The sequence below is a fragment of the Homo sapiens genome, chromosome 20 (genome assembly GCF_000001405.40).
Source record: "Homo sapiens chromosome 20, GRCh38.p14 Primary Assembly".
In the NCBI taxonomy this organism is placed as follows: domain Eukaryota; kingdom Metazoa; phylum Chordata; class Mammalia; order Primates; family Hominidae; genus Homo; species Homo sapiens.
This window is the reverse complement of record NC_000020.11, coordinates 14,544,004-14,560,079: the sequence shown is the minus strand read 5'-3', so window position 1 is coordinate 14,560,079 and position 16,076 is coordinate 14,544,004. Positions and strand designations below refer to the sequence as shown.

General features: G+C 36.1%; 1 protein-coding gene, 1 long non-coding RNA gene and 1 pseudogene across 4 annotated transcripts in view; 1 reads left to right on the top strand and 2 right to left on the bottom strand.

Annotated features, from left to right (window-relative positions):
* The window catches only part of MACROD2-IT1 (MACROD2 intronic transcript 1), a 74,525-nt gene extending 68,829 nt beyond the window's left edge, over nucleotides 1–5,696 (bottom strand). The window contains exon 1 of the long non-coding RNA NR_104193.2: nucleotides 5,652–5,696. This is a non-coding gene — a long non-coding RNA (MACROD2 intronic transcript 1). The remainder of the gene's footprint in view (nucleotides 1–5,651) is intronic.
* The window catches only part of MACROD2 (mono-ADP ribosylhydrolase 2), a 2,057,682-nt gene that overhangs the window by 1,493,118 nt on the left and 548,488 nt on the right, over nucleotides 1–16,076 (bottom strand). The gene's annotated exons all lie outside the window — the stretch shown is intronic.
* Nucleotides 12,449–13,091, top strand: RNF11P2 (ring finger protein 11 pseudogene 2; annotated as a pseudogene).

Below are 16,076 nucleotides of genomic sequence, written 5' to 3'. Positions count from 1 at the left end.
GTAAGATACTATTAAGAACTAAGCAGTAGAGCTTGAATACTTAAATATGTAAATATACATGCTATTAAACATTTTCACATTCAGGAGGTCAAAACAAAGAGAAATGTGAATAGATAGAGAAAAGAAAAAGGACCAGATTGCAGCCTTATGTGTACCCCTGAGCCCTGTTTCACACCGGAGAGACAGAGAAGAGAAATGGTAGCAGCCATTACAGTCTCCATTTAATGACACAAGTAAAACCTCTGAGAATCCTGGTATTTCCCAAAGGGTATGTACAAGTCATGCATGATTCATGTTGTTAGAAATTATTCCAGTCAACTTATAGAATGGAGAGTCTATTGTAAAAATTTGGAGGTCAGCCCTAAAATGATTTATGTATATAACTAAAGAAAAAAGTGTGAGAATTATAGTTACAGAACATAAAAATACTATAAGCTTTGAACATTTTAGTATCAGTAAGTTATAAAAACAGAAAGTAGAGGGAGAACAAGTAGAAAAGTGTAAACGTGCTGACATTCTAATTTTGTATACAGAGGTTAAAAGATAATGCTTGAAGCATCGAGTAATAGGAATTCGAGTATATAACCAAAATATATATGAGCTATAAAGTTAGTAGGTCTACTAACTTTATCCTCTTCCATAGCTGACCACTCTAGAGATTACTTGTTCTAGCAGATATGATTAAAATGTATAAGGTATTAAAACTGCTAGATGCTAGCTAGAATGTTTTTATGTAAAATAAATTATTTGTGTAAATTAAATTCATATATTTTAATTTAAAAAAATACACTGCTAAAATGTTTAACATACATCCCTTAAAAAGTGTAAATTCAAAGAACACAATTTTTGTACTTATGAGGTTCACAGACAAAGCAGGCAATTATATCTTCACTTGATAAATATTTCTAACAGGTAGTTTATTGCTACCAAATATAAATACTGAACTCTGCTTCTGCTTTTAAAGTTCATACTATCTCTTTAGGTAGAGATCTTCTCATTCATTTTAATTACTAAGAAATGCTGCTTTAGAACAAATATGGTATCAAGAACGTTACAACTCATGGAATTAAATCGATTCAGTACATTTGTGAATCTTTGTGTCTGTGTGTGTGTTATAATATGAAGCTTGAAAAGGATCACATCACTGTAAGTTCTATGATTACAGAATCATAGACCTTGTCTATATGGTATAAATACACACATACACATACACAAACACTTCAATACCTAATACAGTATTGTATTTTGAGGATAAAAAGACAGAAGCAGCTCTTTCAGGAATGAAACTTAGTATAGACATAAATCTTTTAGTTTATGCCATAATTAAAGACTATTATACGTGGAGTAAGGTTTAAAGAATTTAAGAAAATTTAGATGTAATGTTTCATTTTGCTTCACATATTTCCAGGCACTATTATTTGATGTGCACACATTTGCAATAGTTATGTTTTCCTGATAAATTGTTCTTTTTATAATTATACAATGTCTCTCTTTAGCTCTAATAATGTTTCTCTCCTCTGAAGTTTATCGGTAAGAATATAACAATTTTTTTCTTAAATTCATGTTTACATGGTATATATTTTTCCATGCTTTTACTTTCTACCTACCTATATTGTTGTATTTGAAGCAAATTTTTTATAGACAGCATATGGTTGGGTCATGTTTTTTATCTATTATGTCAAAATCTGTCTTTTAATTAGTTTATTTAGACCATTTACATTTTTAGCTTTATTGATTCACATACCAGGCCCTTTAAAAATACACGATTAAATGGTTTTTGTATGTTCATAGACTCTTTCAACCATCACCACAATCAATTTCTGAACATTTTCTTCATCCGCCAAAGAAACTCATGCCATTTGTATTCACTCCCTATTTCCCCCAACAATCAGTAATCTGCTTACGGCCTCTACAGATTTGCCTATTCTAGACATTTCATATAAATGGAATCATACAATATGTAGTCTTTTATGACTAGCTTTTTTTTCATTCAGCGTAAGTTTTCCAAAGTTCATTTGTCTTGTATCAGTACTTGATTCCTTTTTAAGCATGAACAATTTTCCATTTTATGGATATATTTTGTTTATCCATTCATGAGATGATGGACATTTAAGTTGTTCCATTTTGGGGCTATTATGAATAACACTGGTATGAAAATTAATGTGCAAGTTTTTATGTAAATTTTTTTAATCTCTTGGGTATATACCTATGAGTAGAATTGCCAGCTAATATAGTAATTCTATGTTTAACAATTTGATGAACTGCTATACCATTTTTCACAGTGACTGCACCATCTTACAATCCCACCAGCAATGGGTAAGTGTTCTAATTTCTCCTTATCTTGGTCAACAATTCTTATTATCTGTCTTTTTTGGTAATAGCTATCCTACTGAATGAAAGTGGCTTCTCATTGTGGTTTTGATTTACATTTCCCTGAGAGCTAATGATGTTCAGCATCTTTTCATGTGCTTATTAGCAATTTGAATAACTTATATGGAGAAATATCTATTCAGAACCCTTGCCTAATCCAAAATTGTGTTATCTGTCTTTTAATTAATGAGGTATATGAGTACTTTATGTATTTTGGATACAAGTTTCTTATCAGATGTATGCTTTACAAATATTTTCTCCCATTTTGTGACCTGTATTTTACTTTCTTTGTGGTGTGATTTGAAACACAAAAGTTTCAATTTAGATAAAGTCCAGTGTATGTATCTTTCTTTTTGTTGTCAGTGCTTGTACTTTTGGTATCATATCTAAGAATTCATTGCGCAAGGTCATGAATTTTACACCTATGCTTTCTTCTGAGAGTTTTATAGCTTTAGTTCTTCCACTTAGATCTATGATCCATTCGGAGTTAATTTTTATATATGGTGTAAGGAAGGGATCTAACTTCATTCTTTTGCATGTGGATATCCAGTTAACCCAGTACCATTTGTCAAAAACACTATTCTTTCTCCCATTGAATTGTCTTGGCACTCTGGTTGCAAATCAATTGGACATCAATGGAAGGCTTTATTTCTGGACTCTTAATTCTATTCCATCAATCTATCTGTTTATCCTTAGGCCAGCCCCATGTTGTCTTCATTACCATAGTTTTACAGTTTTAAAATCAGAAAATCTAAGTATTCAAACTTGGTTCTTTCATTTCAAAACTGTTTAAACTATCCTGGGTCCCTTGCATTTCCATAGATCATTTAAATTTAAAGTAATAAAATTGGGTTTATTAACATACTAGGGCTTAAGACTGTCATTTTATTACTTGTTTTCTCTTTGTTTCCTCTGTTTCTCTTACTTTCCTTTGGGTGACTTGATCATATTAAAAATTTCTATCTTGATTTCTTTATCTTTTCAAAAGTATATTGCTTTGGATAGTTTTCCTAGCAGCTGCTCTAGAAAATAACAATATACCCATGTAACTCATCAAGTCTAACAGTATCAATGTATGGGAATGACGGGATCAAATTCTGTTTAGCACCACTGAAATCATGGAGGGAGTAAGATGTGAGTTTTCCAGTGGTGTTTGGCAGATACTGCCAAAAATTTTCTGGTGTAAAGCCACCCTTCACCTGGTCCTTTGCCTAAAGAAAACAAGACTTTCTTGGAGCTTCTTTATCTGTACTTTCTGGCAGTTCTGGCAGTTTGGAGGCTTCTGTAGCACCTAGCTCAGGATATATGACAGATAACACAAAAATTCAAGGAACTCACTGCTTTGTAGTTCAAGTTCCAAAAATTCCTAGCAGTTCACCCTCTTCTTTTGATCTTTGAGAGACTTCCTTGCCATCTTCGTAGCACTGTATCTAGAAATTTTTAGTTATAAGGGAGAGAACCCGGAAGGAATGAGGCTACTCCATTTTGGTGGAACTGAAAGTAATATTTCATTTTAGTATTTAAAAATGCCTATTTGTGTCCTTTGACCTTCACTGATACACTCTGATGTTTCTACCAATATCTTAGAGGGTTTGACTATTTGGGTGAAGGTACCAGATTATTCCTTTTGTTGTTCATATGCAGGCAAACATTCATTTATATTTATCTAAAAGTAATTGTAAACATTTGAAAATAATTATATGGTTAAGTCACTTCAATTAGTTAAAATAGTTGGATGAGAACACAATAGAATATTTCAAGCAACAGCTGAGTAGAAGATTTTAATCTCATTACAACTGATGTCAGCATTCTACCTGAGGCAAAACTAATTGCAGCAGCTTCCTCCCACAGCCCCACCTCACCACATACTCATCCCAGATAACCATGCAAAAGAAAATGTACTAATAAAGGAAGAGTTTTCATTTGCGCCTTTACAGTCATGTATAAGCTAGAGCACAACGTCCCCCATGTACCTAACAGAAAGTGTCCATGCCCTTTCCCACGCCTCTCCTTAGTGCCAATATCTGGGATGGAATGCTGGCTGGATGTGCTATTTTATGAGAACAAAAGGAATATAGGTGTCTTCAAGGAGGATGAACCTAATTTAGAGTCTCAGGTCAACCTTGAGTAAGCTACTCAACATCTCAGAACCTCAGTTTCCTTGTCTATAACATATGGGCTCCGTTTGCTTTTAATTCTCTTGAAGAATTAAATGAAAGTATGTACCTCTCAGAGCCAGTACCTGGCTCAGAAAATGCTAAATAAGTACATATTTGACTCCCTGAGTTGGCAATGACAAAACAGTGGAACTTGGAGGAGCTCACATAACTCAGGAACACCAGAATTGGTTTAAATTAGAATTCTCCCAAATTCTACTAGAATTTTAAAAGAATATATTCTACTACTAGAATTTGGGGGAATTCTAATTTAAACTTATATATTCTTTAAGTTTTTGGGGGTACATAGTGTATATGTTTGTGGAGTACATGAGATGTTTTGATACGGGCATATGCAATGTAAAATAATCACATCATGGAGAATGGGGTATCCCTCCCCTCAAGCATTTATTCTTTGTGTTACAAACCCTAACCCAATTACACTCTTGTAGTTTTTTAAAATATACAATTAAGTCATTGTTGACTACAGTCACCTTGCTGTACTATCAAACAGTATGTCTTATTCATTCTTTCTGTTTTTTTTTATACCACTAACCATCCCTACCCCCTACCTCTAACCTATATATTTGAAGGAAGTATGTCTCCCCAAAATATTAAAACAAACAAAAAACCTTGGTCTCAAAACACACATGCATTTAATATGAGTAAATATAAAAATTTAAACTCTCCTGATAAATCTTTCCTTATAGGTGATCAGATTTCAAGTATACTTTTTCTAAAAATATATTCAGGGACAAATGTTAAGAACTTTTATTTTAATTCTGTACTATTTTCCCCCTGAGAGTTGTTTAAGGACTAAAAGGAATTTTAGAATAATGTGTACAAAATGTAAAGATTCTCTCATACATATCTCTTAGGCATAAGTGGCAGAATTCAGATAATTCAATACACACTCATCCCTCCCTTTTCCCCAGTGCTCTCTGAAAACTGGAGGGTAGTTTGGGGTTAAGTGGAGTTCCTGAAGACCAAACTACTGTCATAAGTTCTACTGTTTTGGCCTACAGAGCCATGGGAGCACTCAAAACAATGATTCCAGTTTATCAAATATAATGTTCTCCAAAAGAGTAAGTCAGATTCTCCAGGTTGGAATTCTGGAATTCCCACCACAGATGGGTTGCACAGCCCTGGCAAATCGCTTAGCTGTCTGAGCTTCAGTCTCCCAGCAAAGTGGCGACAGCAGCACAGCACACCACATTCTGTAAGAATTTTCTCATCTAGCCTGACCACGCCCTTCAGAGTCAAAGGAAACGTCAGCAGTCATTATTGACCTCATTTAACGACAGAGAAATGAGGGTTCTGAAAATATTCGTGTTTCCCAAAGGGTGATATACAAATCATGGATGATTCATAGGCAACCTTTGAGAAAGGAGAACTACTGATTTTGAGGAATGAAGAGAAAAACTGGCAAAAGATAGGGACATGGGGGAAAAACTGAATTCCCCAATAACAGCAGCTAGCAAATATTAAGCTGGCAAATGAAGGGATTAAAAATGAGCAAAACAGCTGTAGAAGACCTGGGAAATGGCCCATTCAAGAAAGTTGAGTTCTATGAACAGCTGATTCATAATGCCATTGAGGGCCAGGAATTTCAACACTGAATAGTAACTTAAACTCTGTGATAAATGGAAAACCATGCTCAGAATTTTGAAATGTCTTAGACCATGGAAGGAAATAAGTGTTGAAGGAAAGTTCCCTGATTTCTTACTTCAAATTGGACCAGGTCCTACCTCATGTAAGACCAACTTTGATGGTCATTATCCAGCTTCCCATGACTCTAAATTCCACTTCTGTAGTTTTGGAGTAGGTGCAGTCATGCACTACATAACATTTTGATCATTGATGGACTGCATATACAAGGTGATCCCATAAGATTATAGTGGAGCTGAAAAGTTCCCATTGCATAGAAATGCCATAGCCATCATGACATCATAGCACAATGAATGATACTGATGTAAACAAACCTACTGTGCTGCCAGTCATACAAAAGTATAGTACATACAATTATTTACAGTACATAATAATTGATAATGAAAGACTATGTTACTGCTTTCTGTATCTACCATACTATTGATTGCTGTTTCAGAGTATAATTCTTCTACTTACTAAAAAAAAAAAAAAAAAAAAGTTAACTAGAAAACAGCCTCAGGCAGGTCCTTTAGGAGGTATTCCAGAAGAAGACACTATTATCATAGGAGATGACAGTTCCATGCATGTATTGGCCCTGAAGACATTCCACTGGGAAAAGATGTGGAGGTGGAAGACAGTGATATTGATGACCCTGGTCCTGTGTATGCCTGGACTAGTGTGAGTGTTTCTGTATTAGTTTTTAACAAAAAAAAATTAAGTAAAAAAAAAGAAATTTTAATATAGAAAAAAGCTTATAAAATAAGGATATAAAGAAAAAAATTTTGTACAACTGTACAATGTATTTGTGTTTTAATCTAAGTATTATTACAAAATAGTAAAAAAGTTAAAAATAATTAAAAGTATATAACATAAAAAAGTTACAATAAGCTATAGTTAATTTATTATTGGGGAAAGAAAAAATATTTTTAATACATTTAACGTAGCCTAAGTTCACTGTGTTTATAAAAGTCTACAGTAGTATACAGCAATGTCCTAGTCCTTCACATTCACTCACCACTAACTCACTGACTCATCCAAAGCAACTTTCAGTCCTGCAAGCTCCATTCATGGTAAGTGCCCTATACACAATTACCATTTCTTAATCTTTTGTGTCAAATTTTTACTGTACCTTTTCTATGTTTAGATATGCTTAGACACACAATACTTACCATTTTGTTACAATTGCCTACAGTATTCACTACAGTAACATGCTGTACAAGTTTGTAGCCTAGGAGCAGCAGGCTATACCATATAGCCTAGGTACATAGTAGGCTATCCCATCTAGGCTTTTGTCGGTTCACTCTATGATGTTCACACAACAACATAATTGCCTAATGATCTGTTTTTTTCAGAACATATCCTTGTCTTTAAGTGATGTATGACAGTGTTTTTAATAAGACTCTCTACTGATGCTGAAGCCCAACAAAGTCTGAAATCCTTGTACACCAAAAGGCTTTTTTGTTCTTCCATGTGCACTTTACTCTTCTTGTAGCTAAATCTATTTTGGGATGGAGGGTGGTCATTTGCTACTTTTCTGAGAAAGAGGTGCCTTCTCTATGACCCTTATCTGCCCCCACCCCCACCCCCACATAGAGATATGAATAGTTTAAATTTTACTGTATTATAAAGATAAAAACAGGTAGCATACGAGATAACTCAAAGGGTCATTTAAATGAAATGAATGAAAAATTGAGTCATTTTTGAGAAAATCTAGGAGCCACTGAATTATTCCAAGGTCACATGAAATAAAGAATAAAAAACAAATGTTCAGATACCAGGTTCAGCATGCCAGTCATTATGCTTTCTGATCTCCCTGAGGAGAAGCCTTTGTCATTTTAAGGAAAAGGATAAAAAGCATATACTTTTATCTGTAAAAAGGATTAAAGAAATTAAACATTTGTATTAAGTGCAATATTCAGTCACTGCTATCTTGAAAACAATTTAATACTTCACTCAAAAAAGTGAAATAAGTAGAGTTTTACCTTCAAAATAACTACAGACATATTCATGCACATACAGTCATCAAAAGAATGTTATAAAATTACAGCCAACTTTAGAGCAGAAACTGGATAACAGCTCAGGAAAACACCATTCAAAATTGAAAGTTAATTAAAATTTAAATGAGAGAATATTAAGTTGCCTTTTTATCTTTTATAATTTTAATTTTCCTCAATAAATACAAAGGTCTATTCTTATATATTCCTTTTCCAAAACATCCAATGCATAGCTATATCTCAACAGTAATCCACCACAAAAGTTGTGCAGGGAAGTTTTCCCTTCCACTTCGGCCATCTTTGCAAAAGGTAATAGTTGTGATGGGCAGTAGTGATCACCCTCAATCAATCTGTACACCAGGCCACCTGGCATATTTGTAAACAAAAATATATTGTCAATATAATGTGCCTATTTTCCTCAACATAACTTACTATGTCAGAAATTATGAGGTGTGAAGAGAACTGTTCTTTATCATGTTCTACATCTGATTCCATTACAAGAGAAGAACATTTTCATGACATTCATCTATTGCAGTGAAAGCAATGCCATCTTTTCAACTATACACAATTTAATATCATTATTTAAATCAATATTTGAAAACTAATAAAGAGATTATTGAAGCACAAGTTGATTTAATTTACACTATACTCTACAACTATGCACTGCATTAAGGAACCAATTCCATTACATTTTGGATCCAATTCCTAGGACAAATTAAATCTTAATTTTCATGTTTCCCAAAACAATCTACATGATAAAATTGCATAGAAAGACTGACAGAGCATGATAACTGCTTGTACGGAGACCTTATATCACAGAAGTTACTCATCCAAACCTATTAACAGTTACATTCATTGAAAAAGGAAAAAAAAATCATAATTTCCCTCTCCAACTTGAATATCTTCTGCATAAAAGAAAGGGTAACAGCAAATATAAGCAGTTCAAAAAATAATGCAATTAGTTACTGTCTTCATTTGGAATGAAATTCATGAGGAAGCAGAGCATCATTAGGCCTCAAAAAAAAAAAAAAACTGCTACTGATAAAACATGCAAATCTCCAGTCAACACCTCTAATCACACTCTACTATGCCTCCTTGCTTTCAGTTTCCACCTAAGGCCATTGAATACTGACTATGATCAGATACTTTTCCAGGCACTGGAGTTACAATGATGTGCAACAATAGATGTAAACTATAAATGCTGCTTTTGTGAATTTAGAGTCCAAAGCCCTTATGTTTCTTTCCAAATAGGAGACAGGGCTTTTCTTGGTACTCCTTTTAGCTAAAACTATTTAGTAGGAGGGGGAAATTTATTTCTCACAGTTCTGGTGGTAGGAACGTCTAAGTTCAAGGCACTGGCAGATTTGGTGTCTGGTGAGAGACTGCTTTCTGGTTCACAGACTTATGTCTTCTCTTCTCACTGTGACCTCGCATGGCTGAAGAGGGAGGGAGGTCTCCAAATGACCTAATTATCTTCCAAAGGCCCCACCTCCTAATACAATCACATAGGGTATTAGGATTTCAACATAAAAATTTTCAGAGGGACACAAACATTCAGTCTATAGCAGAAAGAGAAGGGAAGGAAAGTGAAGGAAGAGACAGGGAAGGGAAGGAAGGGACAGGGAAAGGAAGGCCATTAAATTAGAGGTGGAGCTGAATGATTGACTACATGGGCTTAAAGGTGTAATTGGGCTGGGTGCAGTGGCTCACACCTGTAATCCCAACACTTTGGGAAGCCGAGGCAGGCGGATCACCTGAGGTCAGGAGTTCCAGACCAGACTGGCCAACATGGTGAAACCCCGTCTATACTAAAAATACAAAAATTAGCTGGACATGGTGGCACCCGCCTGTAATCCCAGCTACTCAGGAGGCAGAAGAATTGCTTGAACCTGGGAGGTGGAGGTTGCAGTGAGCCAAGATGGCACCACTGCACTCCAGCCTGGGTGACAGAGCAAGACTCCATCTTAAAAAAAAAAAAAAGGTGTAATTCATATGAAAATGGTTATGGTTATAAAAAGGTGTGATTGATATGAAAATGGTTATCAATGTGTCAGTAATACTATGCATTACTAACAATGGTGATAAATTAAGAGATTTCACCACAGTGATATTTGAATGACTCTAAGATTTGAGTTTTTCAAGGGCAAAGATCACATTGTATTCCTTTTTGCATCTCTAGCACCTAGCACAGTGACTGACATAAGATAAATACCTGGTAAATGCTGAGTGAATCAATGACTAAATCTTACCTTCTTATCATGGATTGGGCAGAGGGCTAAAATTTATTAATTCTGACTCTGCCTTGAAAACATCTGAAAAAAAAAAGTAGAAGTAATCTGCCAAGCATAATTATCCCTATGTGATTTAAAAGAAATCACATAAAAATTACTAAAATAATCATAACAATCAATTTTACAGCAAGGCAATAAACAATTAAAAATGCTTGATGTAAAAATATTACTTATTTACATATAAAACAGGTGATAAGAACAGTTTACAAAACACATTAATAATTTTAATTTAAAAGAAAACTAGTATATACAGTATTTATTCTTAGGTCTACTTTTTTCTATTTCATTATTTTGTTAGGACAATATGATATTAACAGTTAAAGGGGTCAAAGAACATATGAAGAAACTACCTTCTTAAGTAATTCCTCCTCTCCCCCCAAATATAGATTCTAGCCCAGCCTATAAACTCATTAGATACTTGATACCACCAATAAATTGAGTGTGGTTTGTTCTCTGATAATGTCTCAGACGAGAATGGTGTGCATGGCAGTCATTGCTGGTGCACTGCCCAGATCTCCATGACTTGGACCATTCAGTGCTGTTGGTATGACTTCTAGAACATGTGTCTCTTTGCCTGAGGGCTCTCTCTGGCCACTAGAGTGGGCTTGCTTTGCCTGTAATCATGGAGCACCATAACTTCTGGGAAATTCATGTCCTCCAGTGCTCTCACCCTTCAGGTGGGATAGCTCCGAGGCACGTGCAGAGTTCCCCAGTAGAAACAACCCCAGTTGCTCCAGGTTAATTTGCTTGTCACCCTTTTTTTAGCCTCATCCATTCCCTTTTTTACTTCTCCCACTCCTCTGTTCATTTAATACTTCCAGGGATCACTTCCCAGTGAATTGCCAGCATTCTAATCTAAAAAAAAAAAACTAAGATAATGTATTTTTTTTTTTTTTTTTTTTTTGAGACGGAGTCTCACTCTGTCGCCCAGGCTGGAGTGCAGTGGCGGGATCTCGGCTCACTGCAAGCTCCGCCTCCCGGGTTCACGCCATTCTCCCGCCTCAGCCTCCCAAGTAGCTGGGACAACAGGCGCCCGCCACTACGCCCGGCTAATTTTTTGTATTTTTAGTAGAGACGGGGTTTCACCGTTTTAGCCGGGATGGTCTCGATCTCCTGACCTCGTGATCCGCCCGCCTCAGCCTCCCAAAGTGCTGGGATTACAGGCGTGAGCCACCGCGCCCGGCCAGATAATGTATTTTATAGTGTTAGATTTATAAGATAAATGCAAAAGGTGAAAATGATTGAAAAAAAAAGATATAGTAGAAATGCTTCACACCAGTATTCTGAATGTAAATCTGAGTTTATAATTGGCAGTTGGGGTAGAGGGAAAACTATCATGGAGTAATCATTTACTCAAGAAACAGCAAATATTTTTCATACTCTGATTCTGAAAACGTGAAGAAGGCATAGCCCTTGCTCTGAAGAAATAAAAGTCTTATGAGAAAGTCAGATACAAAATGTGAAGGGGCCAAGTCTCCAAATATGGCCCCAATAATTCCTCCAATTTTTTACACAAGCCCCTTTGCGACGTGGCTTTGCCTCTCCTCTTATCAAGAGGTGTAGTCTATTTTACCATCACTTTAATTCTGAGTTGGCCTTTTGATTTGCTTTGAGCAACCAAATGCAGTGGAAGTAATATCTGGGATTACTACTCTATCCCTCAGGAGGACTGGTACTTTCACTCCCCCATCTTGGAGCCCAGCATGGTGATGCCAAGTCCACACGAGACTGCAGGATGATTAGAGCCATACAGAGGAGACGCTGGAAAAAGAGAAGCCATTTTGGAAATTCCAGCCCCTCTTAAGTTCTCAGCTGAATGCAACTGTATGAGTGACCTCAGGTACACAATCGAGGAGAATCTCCCAGCTGAGCCCAACCAAGCTACAGGATCATGGGAAATAGTAAGTTGTTTTAAGCCACCAAGTTTTGGAGTGGTTTGTTAAGCAATAACAGATAACTGATTCAACAAGCAATTACAGTGCAGTCTGATAATTCCACTCCTCGGATGACATCTCTCTGCTTCACGTATCTCAGTCCCACCAGGCTAGCTCTGGCGAGGAGACAGCCAGATCAGGAGCCACTGCTGTCACATCAGGAAAAAGTTCCAGTTTTGCTCTACCATCCAACACCTAGCCAGACTCGATTTGCAGCTCAGTTGACTGAAGCAAAATACAACAGCTCAAAGAATAAGCCTTATACAACATCTGCCTGAAGGGATTTATGACCCTGGAAGAGATAGATCAGATCAGAAACAAAGATCTGGGAGTATGTGATCTGTATGATGGACTTTGTTTATGGGGACCTGATTCAGTTTCTGCCATGCATGCACATTTATCATGAGGATTATATAGATAACTGGTTGATGAGATCCTTCACGTGTCCCTCCTGCATGGAGCCAGTTGATGCAGCACTGCTTACATCCTATAAGATTAATTGAGCCAGGCTCTCTCATCTGACTTCGAGTGAACCACATTTTTGGTGGTTTTGATTGTTTGTCACTGAGCCCAAAGAGGCAGGGATTAGGAATTAAAATAATGCAAAAAAGTTTCCAACAAATTTCTGGATGGCTGCAGATGTTGGGGGAAAAGTACGTGATATTTTAGAAACTTAGGGGGCAAAGTAGGATGATATTTTTATGTAAAGCCTGGACCCAACGTTTAAAAATATAATTGTATTTAGATCTTGAAAAAAAAAAGAGAAAATACAGATATTGGGTGAGCACCTACTATAAGCTAACACTGTGCAGGGACTAACCAAAGATACATAAAATGTAATTGCTGCCATAAACACACATTTTTGCTAGGAACAATGGCTATTATTTGTAATGATTAGAGGATACCCAAGTTATGTGCAGTATAATTATGACCCTATGGAAAAGAAAAGTTGAGAGAATAAAAGATGGAAGTGTAGGCTAACTGAAGGAGTTTAGCTGAGATCAAAGGAAGGGAAAGTTGGGATCAAAAGAAGGAAAAGCCATCCAGGTAGGGGGAAGAGTTGAGTAAAAAGGCAGGAGGCTAAACAGGGATGACAATCAGGATCTGTCTGAGAGAAAAGTGGAAAATGTGGATAGCAAGATGTAGTCTCTATTTTCTCACTCTGCAATCCTAAAACATGTTCCCTAACAATATATGATGGATATTGGCCCTTCTTTCCTTTGAACCAGTCAAAATATTAAGAGAAACACTTATGAACAGTAGCAAAATATCACCCATCTTCTAATTACTGTTGAAAAGCAGATTTGCAAAATATTTCTCCTGGAGGATTCTTTCTTCTATTTTGTGGCAAAGCACATACCAGTCAACCACATGCATATTGCTATAACTAGGTTATAGCTACTGCAACAGCTAGCCTTAATACTTAATGCTATCAATACAAAAAAAAAGTTCTAGCAATTACTTCATATTTCCATTTGCAACAAATTTTTACTATATTTACATAGAGTTTCAACAGTTCCTAATATCTACAATGTGGATGGATAGCATCTTACACTTTGAAAATTAATAGGGAGACCTGATTCCCTGGACTTATTTAAACATAGTTATAGCTAATGTATTATTACCTTAATAATTTGTTCCCATTCATCAAAATAAAAAATACAGTGCATTTATAAATTTAAATGAAACACTGATTACAGTTTACATTTTCTCTTTTACACTACAAGCGGCCAGTCAATGCAATCCCATCTTTGTTAAGTGTCTAGAACATGGCTAAAATAATATATGTGCACATGTATACAGATATCTCTATACCCATATATGTAAATACTGGTTTATGGCTTGTATAGATTCTGAGATTTATTAAATAAGACACCTTCACTGCTTCCCAGAGATAATAGTTACCTGACATATACAATTCTAAATGAGGTACCTTATCTCTCTCTTCCACACCTTCAAATTAATAGTGTTTTCCCAACACTGATTGCAATTTCTCAAAAGTGAACTTTAACAAACAAAGCATTTAGATGTTATGAAATGCACTATCTTAATGTTCATAAAAGTTATTGCTTACACCCGGCATGATTACTTAATTACTATGATTCAATTATCAACAAAACAAAATGCAGAAAGTAGATCTCACTTGCTTTCTTGCCCAGAAGCCACATCTCATAATTAAACTGGAAGATGGTAAAAAATCTCCTCAAACAATGCAAGGGACTGGTGGAGCTGTTCCTTCTGCTCATGACCTTTGGGTTACAGCTGAATCTGATCCTGTAGGCTGTAATGACTAGATCACCTGAGACCAAGGCTGCTAGCTAAATGCACACAGCTTTAGGAAGTGAGTTCAGAGGAATGAAAACTGGACTCCCAGATCCAAGGAGCAGCCAACAATACCCAAAACCCACCCAGGTACCAGACAGGATACCTGCATAGAACTCTGTGCCCAATAAAATGATTCATTGGCCTGGGCAAGAATAATCTCAAACCTGTAGGGTAAATTGTGTGTATGAGTGGGCAGAGACCACAGTGTCTTTTTTCCTAGACAGGCTTCTCCCTACATTTAATCAGCTACACTTACATTTCATCTCTCAGAGAGTGAATATAGTGTTCCCATCTTCATCAAGTGGTCTCATCGTCATCATCATCATCTGGACAGATACTATTAGTGCTCCACCCATATGCCCTCAGCTCTTACCATTTCAGGCAGGCCGAGCTGACTTCCAACTGTTAGCACTTGTATTTCATTGCCTGAAAGCTTCTCTGCCTGCCAAACACCACTCTGCCTATGCAAGTGGAAGGCTGTAAATGCCAAGGAATTAATACCCCCACAGAGTAGCCCTCAACTAATGACTGCCAGGAGTTGACGGATAAATACTCCAGCTCCCTTATCTCTAGTGGGAAATTCTGTACACTTGACTCTCAGAATGCCACAGCATCATTAAGCTCCAGTTGCCTTCCTTATTGGCTTTTTTCCTTCTCTGCCCTACTTTTTCACTCCCCTATCAGTGTTCCTTGAGATTACCTCTCACATAAATTACTTATAGGAGAATCTTTGTCTCAGGGTGTGATTCTCAAGCAACTCAAATGGAAATCATCATCATTATCACCATCATCATCATTGCAACAATAATAAGAGTGCTCACTACTTACTGGGTTCCTACCATATGGACTCGAAACTTTTACTCATTATTCTACTAAAATTTTAATTCTCACACATATAGCTATATTACCCATGCCTTATAGCCGAAAAAAGAGAGACATGGGAGATTTAAATAAGTTGCTGAGATCTAGATCACTGAATTAATAAGATTAGAAGACAGAATCTGTCTGATTTTAAACTCATTTTGCTCATTCTACCATACTATGCTGCCACCCATAAAAAGTAAAATTAAAATGATTTAAAAACAAAATTCACATGCTGAGCCCTACCCTATTTTCTAAAAAAAAAAAAAAGAAGGAATCATTTTTATTTCAGCTACTTAATAATAAATATCCAAGAATATATTTATCAACCTAACAATAGTTTCGAAAAGAGTCATCAGAAAGTGGATAGTATATCAACATGGAACATTCCTCCACTTAATGTTTGTCAGTGTCTGCTTTTTGCCACATTAGCCTTTTATAGGAGCAGGAGACTTCCTTTAGAGCAGGGATAATGTCTTATTTGTGTCCAGATTCCCA